The following is a 14,950-nucleotide window of genomic DNA, read 5'->3' as shown; positions in this document are numbered from 1 at the left end:
TGAAAGATGCACAGGATCTGTCAACAGGAAGGGACCAAAGAACTGGAGATGAGGGGGATAGGAAGGAGGTTTATTTTTCACTGCACACCTTCTTGCAGAATTTTACTTATGTGCTTATATTGCCTTTTCAAAAAATAAATTCTGTCCCCCTTTCTAGAACACACGTACAGAACCTGTCCCTTGTCCGGTCCACGTGAAGTTAGGAAAACTAAGTCCTAGTTTTATCCTGCCAGCAATAGTGAAGCAGTATGATGTCATAATGAGTCTTAAATATCCTTTGCTTCAGTTTCTGAGGCTGTAAAATGGGGTTAATAATATCTATTCTACCCTCCTTAGAGGCACTTTAGAAGTTCATTGAGATAAAACAACAATAGCAATGATAATAGTTTAAATATATTGAGTGCTTAACATGTACTGGGCACAGTGCTATTGTCTCAATCCGAAAACAATCCACTAAGGTAGCAACTAATGTGAGTCTCATCTTAAGAGACAAGGAAAATAAGGCAGAGAAAAGCAACTTGCTCAAGGTCATGCAACTATATATCATAAACTAAAAGTAAAATTCAAAGCCCCCCCCTTCCCCACCAACTGACTGAATGGACCATCTCTTGGCCAAGGGGATCCCAGAGTAAACTTGAAGACTGAGTTCTCAGCCATGACAGGATAGGAGACTCAGATACACATCATTATACCCCCTCCCTCATTAACCATCATTAGCCTTTCTTCCCTAAGGGCTTAACAGAAAGTAGCCCTTTCAGACTTCATGACCAAGGACCCAAAAGCAAATGCAACAAAAACAAAAATAAATAGATAGGACTTAATTAATCTAAAGAGCTTCTGCAAAGCAAAAGAAATAATCAGCAGAGCTAACAGACAACCCACAGAGTGCGAGAAAATCTTCGCAATCTATACATCTTACAAAGGACTAATAGCCAGAATCTACAAAGAACTCTGATATGGTTTGGCTGTATACCCACCCAAATCTCAACTTGAATTGTATCTCCCAGAATTCCCCCGCGTTGTGGGAGCGACCCAGGGAAAGGTAATTGAATCATGGGAGCCAGTCTTTCCCATGCTATTCTCATGATAGTGAATAAGTCTCATGAGATCTGATGGGTTTATCAGGGGTTTCCACTTTTGCTTCTTCCTCATTTTTCTCTTGCTGCCACCATGTAAGAAGTGCCTTTCACCTCCTGCCATGATTCTGATGCCTCCCCAGCCATGTGGAACTTTAAGATCAATTAAACCTCTTTCCTCCCAGTCTCAGGTATGTCTTTATCAGCAGCGTGAAAACAGACTGATACAAACTCAAACAAATTAACAAGAAAAAAACAAACAATCCCATTAAAAAGTGGGCTAAGGACATGAATAGACAATTCTCAAAAAAAGATATACAAATGGCCAAGAAGCATATGGAAAAATGCTCAACATCACTAATGATCAGGGCAATGTAAATCAAAACCACAGTGAGATACCACCTCACTCTTGCAAGAATGGCCATAATCAAAAAATCAGAAAAATAATAGATGTTAGTGTGGATGCGGTGAAAAGGGAACATTTTTACACTGTTGGTGGGAATGTAAACTATGTACAACCACTATGGAAAATAGTGTGGAGATTCCTTAAAGAACCAAAAGTAGATCTACCTTCTGATCCAGCAATCTCACTACTGGGTATCTACCCAGAGGAAAAGAAGTCATTATATGAAAAAGATACTCGCACACACATGTTTATAGCAGCACAATTTGCAATTGCAAAAATATGGAACCAGCCCAAATGCCCATCAACAAACAAGAAATGGACAAAGAAAATATGGTGTGTGTGTGTATATATATATATACACACACACTCAAACAGCCACACACACACACACCATGGAATACAACTCAGCCATAAAAGGGAATGAAATAATGGCACTTGCAGCAACCTGGATGAAGTGAAGTAACTCAGGAATGGAAAACCAAACATTGTCGTTCCCACTCATATATGGGAGCTAAGCTATGAGAACAACAAAAGGCATAAGAATGATACATTGGACTTTGGGGACTCGGGGAAAGGGTGGGGTGGCGAGGGATAAAAGACTACACATTGGGTACAGGGTACACTGCTTGGTGATGGGTGCACCAAAATCTGACAAATCACCACTAAAGAACTCATTCACGTAACCAAACACCACCTGTTCCCCAAAAACCTATTGAAAATAAAAAAATAAATTTAAAAATATTTTAAAAAGAAAACAGCCCTTTCAAAAGACTCCACCACTGGTATCAGTCTACCGCCTAATGCTGCCTCTCCTTTTTTGCCCGATAAGAGACCACCGACCACAGGGTGGTTCTGGCCAATCTACAAAGAATGCACAGTAAGGGTGTTCCTGTCTACTTCACCTTTTGATGTCAAAGGGCCAAAAACTCCACCCTTAGATCATGCTAACACCGTCATTTTTTGTACATGGGACACAAGCAGGGGGATGAAGCTCAATTGCACGTGTGCATATTTCTCCTTCATAAATATTCATGATTCCTCTGATAGCTTATTGAATATGTATATTCGACCACTCTGCTCAGCATAAATTTCTATTCCATTTGCCCCACCCTCAGAGTATCTGTTTTGGGCTTCTGACCAGAGGCTATGCTTCCCACCCTGTCAGAATGGCAACCCTGCAGGCTGCAATCCTTTATGAGAAATAAAGCTCTCCTTTCCAAATTTATGAACCTCCTCATTCTTCAGTTGATGATATCCAGCCTTCTGTTTCTACCGCTCACACTTTTACCCACCGAATGCAATATATAGGTTTGAAATTAGTATTCATTACTCTAGATGCAGCTTCCTGTCCTGAGATGTTTGGGTTGATCATCAGATTTCCTCCACCTGTTTCCCCATATTGGAATTTCTACCCTACTCAAGAGAGTCTAATGAGGAGCTAGAATCTAGAGATAGGAATATAAGCAATTTCAAAATAGGATCCTGGTCCCAGGAGTTAGGATTTGTTGCATGGCAGAGACCAGGATCCTGGAATCACCTTTAACTCAAGAAAGTGCTCAGAAACAAGCCCCAGCTGAGGTTTATAAACACAATTAGCTTGTTACCACCCCCACCCCCACTGTTACCATAGCAATGAGAGAGCTCTTGGATGCCAGTCCTCAATTGCTGTTCCTGATTTGCAGAGCCTTCCTAATGCACGCTTCCTCTTTCAGTGTCCTCTTCTCCTGTGTACTTCACAGACCTCTGCAATATCTACCAACTGTTGGTCATGCAATCCTTTCTTAAACTCCCCCAGAAACAAGCAGCTCACTACCCACCAGGCACAAATCTTTCTCAAACCAGCCTTAACTGTTTGTGAAGTCTTCTTTCTATTGTTCTAAAATCTGTCTCCCATTTTTTCCAGCCAAAGTTCTGGTGCTGCCCTCTAGGATATCATATCACACCTCATCCTCCTGACTCCTTCAGTTAACTGGAGATCATCCTCATAATCTGCCTGGGTCTTCTCTTCTCTAGACCAGTGGCTCTCAAACTTAAGCATGCATCAGACATGGAGGTCTTGTTAAACCACGTAGTCCAGGGCCTTACCCCCACAATTTCTGTAGGTCCGGGGTGGGCCCAGAAATTTACATCTCTAAGATGCCACTGCTGCTGCTTGGTGATTACACTCTAAGGGTCACTGTTCTTGGTAAGTACTCCTCATCCCTTTGAAAACTCTTTCTGTGTGAGAGCTCCCTGGCCTCTTTACCCTTCTAATCTCTCTCCTGGGGACCTGCTCCAGTTCACCAATATGACACCCAAAACTAGACAAGGAACCTTGAGTAGACATGTTTGACGACAAGGAACAAAGATTTTCCTCAGGCTACCTCAAGCGATAGGAGGTGGTTATAGTGGATGTAAGAAAAAAAAGAATCTCAAATTCATGGCCAGATTGATTGGACCCCAGGCAAATGAGGCCTCTAGGGAGGAGTAGAGATAGCAGTACACCTGGATCTCTACCCAGAGGACAAGAGCTCTTGTTAGTCCCTTAGCAGCGGGGCTCTGTTCATCCTCAGCTCTCTCCGCCTCATCTGCTATTTCTGCTGCCACCAACCAATTCCATATCCCCTCTCCATTTGTAGATTTTCTCTACCTCATAGCTTCTGCTTCCTCATTCTTGTTTCTGTTTTCTGATTTCCTTCTGCTCCCTTTTGGCCTCTACGACAGCATGGTCTCCATTAAGAGTTCAGCTTCGAGGCCTGCCACCAACCTTCTGATTTGCCTTCTTTTCCCAAGTTCAAACTCCCCAAAGAGGGAATCAGAGTGAGGTAAGCTTGTTTCAGTTTAAATAAAGCTCTTCAAAGTAGCCTGTAGACTGACAACCCTTGGGTCCTATTCAATCTTTTGTGGCTGGTAAAAGGTTGGAATACATGATATAAGCACTAGCTGCCCCCTTGGAAGGAGATGGTAAGAATAGCCTACAGTCCATTGGTTACCTGTAGGTTTCATCTTGCATGCCAACTTCATTCAAAAACTATTGGCTGCCTTAAAGACTGTGTTGATAGAGGTTCAGAGGCTACATCTAAACCCAGTGGAATATGGTTAATTAGTGGTATCTGTCATGGGCATTCGAGCAACAATCCTCAGCCCACATGCCAGTTACTTGCCATCCCCACTGTTAGAGCATGTGGTCTAACAAAAGCAAACTAAGTGGAGTCATTATCTTCCTCGTTTTGAGTTTCTTACTTGTCTTTATGAGGACAAAGATTATATTTGCTTCTTTAGACAGCTGGATCACACTATGGCTTCACACTGAACTTCAGCCACCTAAAACTCTTAAGCCTTTTTTATACCTGCTATTAAGTGACATTTCTCCCATTCTGCGTCATGCAAAAAAAGAAACATAACTAAACAGATAAATTTTACATTTTTCCTTAAAATAGTTCACCTTGTTTAATTTGACCCATCATTCCAGCCTATTGAGATCTTCTTACCATGAATAATGTCTATTTCTGGCCTATTTGATAAATTGCTCAAACTCTGCAGTCCATGAAATGGGGATTAAATGTTTATCTTCTTTACAGGATTCACAAAGATGAATTTAGATGATTAGTTTCCATATACTACCTTGCACCATTTAGGGAACAATTGCTGAGTAATTTCAAGAAATTATGTTTGCTGAGCACACTGGTTTGTGCCTGTAATCCCAGCTATTCCGGAAGCTGGAACTGGAGGATCACTTGAGCCTGGGCATTCGAGACCAGCCTGGGTGCCTGGGCAATATAGTCAAACTGTCTTTAAAAAAAAGAAGAAAAAAAGTAATCATCTTAGACTAACAAGTACACATGCATATTTGTCCACTGTGTTCACGGTGAGAAGAACCAAAGATAGTTAAACTATTTCGCTAGCTTAACTAGTCGATAGTTAAACTATTTCGCTAGCTTAACTAGTCGATAGTTAAACTATTTCGCTAGCTTAACTAGTCGATAGTTAAACTATTTCGCTAGCTTAACTAGTCGATAGTTAAACTATTTCGCTAGCTTAACTAGTCGATAGTTAAACTATTTCGCTAGCTTAACTAGTCGATAGTTAAACTATTTCGCTAGCTTAACTAGTCGATAGTTAAACTATTTCGCTAGCTTAACTAGTCGATAGTTAAACTATTTCGCTAGTTTAACTAGTCGATAGTTAAACTATTTCACAAAGGCAGCTCCTTTCCTAAAACAATAGCTGTTGTTCATTGAATAACTTTTCTGGGTAAAGGATACTTTAATATGTTATTTCTAACTCTTACAACAATATTAAGAGGTAGGTTTTATTATCTTTTTTTAGGGATGAGACAACTGAGACATAAGGGGTTTAATCACTTTCCAAGATAACACAGCTAGTATGTGGGAGTATGAATCCCAGCCCCAATCTGCCTGACCCCAAATCCCATGTCCCATCCACTGTGCAACATAGCTGCTCCCTGAGCATGTTCTCTGAATGACACTGAGACTTGCTGAAAATAACTGAGGGCAGAGATTGAGGGCTCATGAACATATTTACCCAAGGATCACAGTGTTTGTTTGTTTGTTTTGAGACAGAGTCTCATTCTGTTGCCCAGGCTGGAGTGCAGTAGCGTGACCACAGCTTACTACAGACCCCACCTCCAGGGCTCATGTTTCCCAAGTAGCTGGGACTATAGGCTTGCCCTACCATGCCCAGTTAATTTTTTTTTTTTAATTTTTTGTAGATATAGGGTTTCGCTCTGCTGCCCAGGCTGGTCTTGAACTCCTGACCTCAAGTGATCCTCCAGCCTCAGCCCCACCAAATGCTGAGATTACAGGCATTAGCCACCGCACCGATCTGGATGAACATTTTTAAAAGTACCACCTGTATTAGATTGAAAAAATTATGGTATATCTATACTTTGGAATATTATAGATATTATTTAAAAGAATGGGGTAGACTGACATGTATTTGTACAAAGAACTGAGCTTTACTGTTAGCTATGTCTACTCTGATCCTATTTTTTTAACATTACATTCATATGTAGGTAGGAGGTGGAGAATTATAGACTTCAGTTCCCATTCTTAACACTTCCATCTTGATTGAATTTTTACATTTGTATATTTTTAATCAAAAAATAGAAAAATAATCTGTTAAAATTATTAGTTACCCTTCTCCTTCCCCTCTGACTCCTGAATTTCATGACTCTGTATGACACATCAGGATCCAGGCCCCTGTGTCTACTGGCTCCAGCAAATAAGAAACCTATTGTCTCACATTAGAAAACCTGAGGGAGGATAGAACTTGGGTTGGTGAACTCAGTGGTTCATGGGTGTCATACGGCATCTTTGCACTCTCCCATTTTCAACAGGAGATCTGGTTCCCTGTCCATCATTTCCTAGTTGCCACAGTTCAAAATACCACAAGCTGCTACGATAATGTCCAGCAGAAAAAGAGGCAACTATTTCTTCCAATGCGACTCTTTCTAGCAGCAAGAAAGATCTATACAATGATCTCCCCTCATCCACAGTTTTGCTTTCCTCAGTTTCAGTTACCCATGGTCACCCAGGGCCCAAAAATACTAAATGAAAAATTCCAGACATAAGCAGTTTATAAGTTTTCAATCACGCATTGTTCTGAGTAGCATGATGAAACCTTGCACTATCCCACATCATCCCACCCAGGATGCGAATCATCCCTTTATCCAGCATCTCCACGCTGTCTATGCTACCCACCCGCTAATCACTTAGTCAGATCTTGTTATCAGATCTACTGTCACAGTATCAGTATCCCAGTGCTTGGGTTCAAGTAACCCTTATTTTACTTAATAATGGCCCCAAAGCGCAAAAGGAGTAGTGATGGCAATTTAAATATGCCAGGGAAGCCTAAAGTGCTTCTTTTATGTGAAAAGGTGAAAGTTCTCAATAAGCAATGAAATCGTTTGCTGATGCTGCTAATATCTACAGTATGAATGAATCTTCTATCCGTGAAATTGTGAGGAAGGAAAAAGAAATTCATGCTAGTTTTACTGTCACACCTCAGACTGCAAAAGTTACAGACACAGTGTGTGATAAGTGCTTAGTTAAGATGGAAAAGGCGTTACATGTGTGGAAGGAAGATGTTAACAGAAACGTGTTCTGACTGATGGCAGTCAGTTTCAGTACTATTCTCGGTTTCACACATCCAGTGGGAGTCTTGGAATGTCCCTCCCGTGGGTAAGGGGGAACCACTGTGCTAGACACAGTCCCAGAAGACTCCTCATAGCCTACTGGTCAGAACTGCATCACATGTCCTGCGAATGCAAGCATTGGTGGAGACTGAGGGCACCAAACCTGGATGGGACAAACAATTTGATCTCTGGGGCTGCGAAGCTCAGCTTCCTTTGAGGCACATGGCTTGCCTACTCTCTGAACAATATTGGGGTTCCATTATCTAAGAAAAAGAACTGGGGCCAGGTGCAGTGGCTCACACCTGTAATCCCAGCATTTTGGGAGGCCAAGGCGGATGGATAACTAGAGGTCAGGAGTATGAGACCAGCCTGGCCAACAGGGTGAAACCCTGTCTCTATGAAAAATACAAAAAATTAGCCGGGCATGGTGGTGCACACCTGTAGTCCCAGCTACTTGGGAGGCTGAGGCACGAGAATCACTTGAACCCAGGAGGCGGAGGTTGCAGTGAGCCGAAATCAGGCCACTGCACTCCAGCTTGGGAGACAGAGCAAGACTCCATTCCAGAAAAAAAAAAAAAAAAAAGAAAGAAAAGCAAAAGAATGGGAAATGCTCATGGAGACATAAATAATGGTGTCACAACTAATTTCTAAATTAACTATGATACCAGGCTCTTGTGAATGTTCTCATTCAACAATGCTATGTGCCTCTGTCCTCTCACCCCATGTATTCTCAGAAGCACACTGTTTCTGAACCAGGTAGACTAGGTTTCTAGACTATTTGAATTGTTAAAGTGTTAACTAAAGTGCTCCTGAATTTGTTACTGTTACTTATGCTGACAGTGGTATTCATATCACTGTCTCTGGGGTGGGCTGTGGGAAATGTCACTGTAAAGATGATTGAAATTCACTGATGAAAACCTACTTCCCTAAAGATCTAAAGCCATGGTCCAGTTGATTTCAGAAATGGCAAATTCTGAAAGTAAGCAAGCAAATGGTTTTTGGTGGTGGGTAATACATAGCTCCGTTTAGCAGGATATATGGTATTTGACAAGGATTGAGCTGAATCGATTTTAGAGAACTTGAAAAACAGGCAGACCTGTCTTGGAGGTTTTACAATGTCGCTTTCTGAACGTAGAATTTAATGCCCTCTACCATTCCTCGAAAAAACTGGAAGACACCAGCCTGCATAGTTCAGTAGTTCAGCCATCTGTCCAACTGAAAAGTCATCGAAACAGAGGTATCAAGTCCTTTGTTGCAAACTTGAGGAATCTCTGATGCGGAATCAATCATTTTTCTAGTAGACAAGGTGGCCTCACAGGAATGAGAGTAAGAAAGAGTGAGAAGGAAAAGGAGTTGCTTTCCCAGCCCCATCAAAGCTGGACTCATCCTTATCTTTATTTCTTCCCCTACTCATCATCACTGCTGTAAAAGGGGGGATGTTTCCTCTACCTTTGGAGGCTGAGTGTCCGCACCTGCAAAGTAAACTGTCAAAAGACAGATTAACAGGAGGAGGAAGAGCATACAAACTTTGTGTGATTTTATAAGTTTATGTGGCCCGTGGAGGTGGTTCATAAATTAGAGAAAACACGCCCAAAAAAGTGGCAAGGCTTGGAGGCTTCTAAGTCATTTCAACAAAGGTTGATACATTTGTAGAGATGTGACAAGACACGGGAAAGGGGGTTTGGGGTTTAGGCTTCCCAAAACTGTAGAAGGTAAATATAGGGGGAAACTCAAGGAAGATAAGAGCTATCTTTGCAAAGTTTGTTTATGCAGGTCCATTTCGGTGCAGCCTTCCATCTCCTTCAAGGCCATAAAACTTCCCCAGGAAAAGGGATTTACGGCAGTCTTCATTTCTCAGAAGTTTCTGCTTTTAGTCAGATAAGGGATGCTTAGGGAAACCTTCTTTCTGCATCTGTTGAATCTCAAATGCCTTCAGCTCAAAATAATCCTTCTGCTACAGAACATATTTTGAGGTGGTATATTCTGATTCCCCACTCTCCCTCGTCCCCTAGCATGGTCTTCTTGACTTTGACTTGCGCCCTGTGCTGGGTGTTCAGTTTGTCTCCTGGGCCATTCTCCACTCTTCTCTGCCCTACTTTGTGCTCCCAGAGGCTGACCTGTAGGAAGGCATCAAAGGTTCATTGCCCTCTGACTTCCAATTGGGTTTGGCACTGGCAGGAAAAGAAAGGGAAGGAGTAGAGACAACTTGGAGCACGAGCTTGGGGTATTTATTCTCCAAGTTCCCTCCCTGTGGAGTCCCCAAGTGTTGGCTGCATTTCATTGCAAAAGATGTTAGCTCAAATAAGGCAGTCCTCCCCACAGTTCTGTCTCCCCAGTTTCAGTAACCCACCCCCTCATCTGCCCCTAAAGGCTTAGGAGTGGTAATGGAGCCCTACTATTACTAATCTAGGGTTCTGCACTATGCCTTGCAGTTTCCCTACACTCTGCCCACGCCTTTGTAAATAGTTTCTTTATGAAACTCTGCTTGAGTTATCCTAATTTGAGGATGCCATCTGTTTCCTGCTGATACACTGCTCTAATTTGATCTTATATGGGTTGAATGTTTTTGCTTAGTGATATTTTTGTGTTCCTGCCTCCTGAATTACCACTCTGCATAGTGGCAAAGACTTCAGCCTCTGAAGTTGCATAGGAGTGGGTTCATATCACACTCCATCTTCTACAGTTAGAAAACCTTGGCCAGTCACTTCACCTCTTTGACCCTCAGTTTCTTTCTCTGCAAGTGGCAGTAATAATGATAATAATAGTGTTATGTACTCCATTGAGATTCCATGTGGATCAAATGAGACAATAGGAGTGATGAGGAGTGTGACAAATGACAGTTCTCATACCCCATCTAAAAGTAGCTCCACCAGCCGAGTGTGGTGGCTCACACCTGTAATCCCAGCACTTTGGGAGGCCAAGACAGGCTGATCACCTGAGGTCAGGAGTTTAAGACCACCCTGGCCAACATGGGTTGGTGGTGGTCTACCAACCATCTCTACTAAAAATACAAAAATTAGCTGGGCATGATGGTGCACGCCTATGATCCCAGCTACTCGGGAGGCTAAGGCAGGAGAATCACTTGAACCAGGGAAGCGGAGGTTGCAGTGAGCCGAGATCATGCCACTGCACTCCAGCCTGGGCAACAGAGCAAGAATCCTTCTCAATAAATAAATAAATACATAAATAAATAAATAAATAAAGTGGCTCCCTGGATCCAGGTGATAGTTGTCACGAAAAAAAGGCAGCCCAGAGTTGTCAGTTCTTTTGGTACTTCAAACAGCCAGAAATCTAGTTTTATATATGAAATATCCTCTTTACTAGAACGTCAATTCCATGAAGACAGTAATGACTATTTTATTCATTAATGTATTCCCACTGATTAGAATTGCCATTTTGAATTTCTGATTTAAAAATAATCACAACTGAAAATCACTAATAAATAATGGATCCTTTTAGAACCCCCTCTAACCAAAAGAAAGTGGGTTACAGCCAATCATTTTCAGAATGTCCACTGTGTAGCCCCTCGTTCAGATCACGTGCAACCAGGCACTTAATAAATGTGTTCTGGGCTGGTGGAAGAGATACAGCAACTACTTTCAGCCCAAACAGTTCATGGAGCCTCCTCTTCCCTGTCACAGCCTGAAGATAGGAATCCAGTGAGCTGCAGATTTGTTACCAAGTTTATAAATGCCAAGGAGACAGCTCTCCAGCAAAAGAATGACTCAGTAGACACGCTGCAGATAAATAATGTATGAAACCACTTCTATTTTAATGGCACTTTGTGGTGACAGTAATATTGATGAAAATGTTGGCATGTATTAGATGGTGTTATATTCAGTGAGAGATGAGGTTTGACAGGCACTGGGCCACTTCCAACCATAATCCAAGCCAGAGATGTGATATACACCAATTCTTAGCCAATGGTTGGCCCCTGTATGAAATTGGCTGCTAGGAAAAATAAGACCAACACTTGACCAGCGCTGATATCTTGTGGTGGCTATTTGTCTTGGTCAGCTTGTACTACCATAACAAAATACCATAGAATGGGTGGCTTAAAAAACAAATTTGTTTTCTCACAGTTTGGAAGCTAGACGTCTGAGATTAGGATGCCAACATGGTCAAGTTTGGTGCCTTCTCACTGTGTCACCATGGGGGGTGGGGGTGGCGATGGGGTAGGAGAGAGAGAGAGAGAGAGATTGAATCTTCCTCTTCCTATAAGGCCATAGTCCTATGGGTCTTAGGGCCCCACCCTTATGACCTCATTTTACCATAATGACCTCCTAGACCCTATCTCTAGATACAGTCACACTGGGGGGTTAGGGCTTCAACATATGAATTCTGGGGGACATAACTTAATCCAGAGCAAAAGTGATTCCCAGGCCAGGTGCAGTGGCTCAAGCCTGTAATCCCAGCACTTTGGGAGGCAGAGGCAGGTGGATCACTTGACATCAGGAGTCAAGACCAGCCTGACCAGCATGGTGAAATCCTGCCTCTACTAAAAATACAAAAATTAGCCAGCCATGGTGACACATGCCTGTATTCCCAGCTACTTGGGAGGCTGAGGCACGAGAGTCACTTGAACCCAGGAGGTGGAGGCTGCAGTGAGTTAAGATCATGCCACTGCACTCTAGCCTGGGTGACAGAGTGAGACTCTGTGTCAAAAAAAGAAAAAGAAAAAAGTCATTCCCAAACCTCTCTTCCACTCCAGAGGCTGAAAAAGTTAAAACATTCATTTTCCCAGTCTCTTCTGGAGTTGGCAGTGGTCATGAAAAACACAATAATGCATGAGTGGAATTCTGCTGGGGAGATGAAGGGGGTTCTGGAAAGAAAATGTGCTTTCTTGATAAAAGGAGCGGATGTGACCAGTCCACACCATCTGTTTCTCTCTCTTCCTCCCCTGAATCAGGATGTGATATCTATGGCTTTTGCAGCCACTTTAAAACCAAGAGGCACAGGAGAAAATTTCTGCAGTGACAACAGCCTTGATGTCACTGAGACTCTAACCCAAATGCTAGTAGTAGTTGCTCATATTCAGACTGGCTAAGAACAAATAAATGCCTATTTGTATATGGCTCTGTAAGCTGAAGTTTTGCTAGACACAAATGAATGTGCTATGATACTTACCCTCTGTGTATGTCTGTGATATCATCTATATAATGGGAATAATAACTATCTACTGTTGTTGTGGGAGGCGGGGGCTTTAATGAGAAGCTGTTCAAAGTATTGAAATAGAGATTGGCACATAGTAAATCCTCAACACTAGCACCGTTATGTAGTAATACAAGACACATTTATTTATACTGTTTTTTACACTCCTAAAATCATCACAATTAATTCTCAAATAAATGCAAACAAGAAGCTAAAGGAAATAGAGACAGATATGTGGGGACAAAAAATAGCAGCAGATTTAGAGTCAGGAGACCCAGGTTCAGAATGTCTGATAATAAGGAAATGATCATGTAAACAAAGGCGCATCCAGCCCATGAACTGCATATGCACCCATTTAAAATAAATAAAAAGACCATGCAAGGACATGAAGAAAAGCATACTATAAAATGTTAAACAACAGAACACAGAACACAGATACACAAATTAAAGATAATCCCAATCGTGTAAAAGAAAAAAAAGTGAAAATGAAAAGAAATAACCCAAAATGGTAATCTATAAGTGTATAGATAACTTTTTTCTCCTATGATTTTCTGAATTCTCTAAATTTCCAGTAAAAAAAATCATAATTTCATAATTTAAAAATTTTAATAACTTCAAATTTTCTCTTTTATACTTTCCCATATTTTCAAACTTATTTGCCATAAATTCATATTACATATATAAGAAGAAAAATAAGTTTTAAAATAAGGAAATATGGCCAGGTGTGGTGGCTCACAACTGTAATCCCAGCACTTTGGGAGGCTGAGGCAGGTGAATCACTTGAGGTCAAGAGTTCCAGAGCAGCCGGGCCAACAAGGCAAAACCCCATCTCCACTAAAAATACAAAAACTAGTCAGGCATGGTGGTGCATGCCTGTAGTTCTAGCTACTCAGGAGGCTGAGGCAGGAGAATTGCTTGAATTCGGGAGGCAGAGGTTGCAGTGAGCCGAGATCGCACCGTTACACTCCAGCCTGGGTGACAGAGAGAGACTGTCTCAGAAATAAAATAAATAAATAAATAAATAAACATGTGCTGATCAGAGACAGTGGAATCTGACCAGTCTTAGGAGCATTGCAGGACCCAAAGAAAAAGCACATATGGCTTCTCAATTGTCACATATTTTAAAGTATAACTGTGTCCTTGGGGTGGAATTGGTCATGGACGGGGGCTCACTCCTGCTGACCAAAGGCACAGGTGGAGGAATAAGTCAGAGTGGGCCTCAATGCATGCTCTTCTGTTTTCAGTCACACTGCAGAAACAGAGGCAAAAGATTTTTTTTCTTTCCTTCCTTCTAAGTTCATGTATATTTGTATACATTTTTTAAGTAAAAATGATCTTTTTGCTATAGGGATTTTGGTTTTGAGGCTCCACGTCACCAGTTACCAGCTATATGGCACGGGGCACAGATACGTTGCAAAATCTTTTGAAAATTCCACTTTCCTATCTCTAAAATTAGGATTATGAAAAGAGCTATGGCCAGGCACAGTGGCTCACGCCTGTAATCCCAGGACTTTGGGAGGCTAAGGCAGCCAGATCACTTGAGGTCAGGAGTTCGAGACCAGCCTGGCCAACATAGCGAAACCCTGTCTAGTAAAAAATACAAAAATTAGCCAGGCGTGGTGGTGGGCACCTGTAATCTCAGCTACTCGGGAGGCTGAGGCAGGGAGAATTGCTTGAACCCAGGAGGCGGAGGTTGCAGTGAGCTGAGACCACACCACTGCACTGCAGCCTGGGTGACAGAGCAAGACTCTGTCTCAAAGAGAAAAAAAAAAAGAAGAGCTATTTCACGGAAGAATGTGGTGTTCAGCAAATATACTAATGTGTGTTAAAGTGCTTTACAAATTGTAAATCCTAACACAGTACAAACTTTAGTGAAAGGAACATAGGTTCTTACTGTGCAGTCCTGATTAACATCCTAGCTGTGACACTTAACATGTTGTGTGTGAAATTTAAGCAAATTATGTAACCTCCCTGAGCCTCAGTTTTCAGATATAGAAAATAGAGAAATCTTTCATTATTACAAGATACCTTGTGTATCTTGTAAATATCCAATAAAGTTGTAATTATATTTTCTGCACTTTCCCAGGAATAATCAAAATTAACTCTTCTACTTGGAAGGGCTTCCGCAGGAGATAGGAGCAGAACATCCTTAAAAAACTGTTGTGAAATCACCTTAGTGCT

This window comes from Homo sapiens, chromosome 5 (genome assembly GCF_000001405.40).
Source record: "Homo sapiens chromosome 5, GRCh38.p14 Primary Assembly".
Taxonomy (NCBI): domain Eukaryota; kingdom Metazoa; phylum Chordata; class Mammalia; order Primates; family Hominidae; genus Homo; species Homo sapiens.
Note: the sequence above shows the minus strand (reverse complement) of the source record.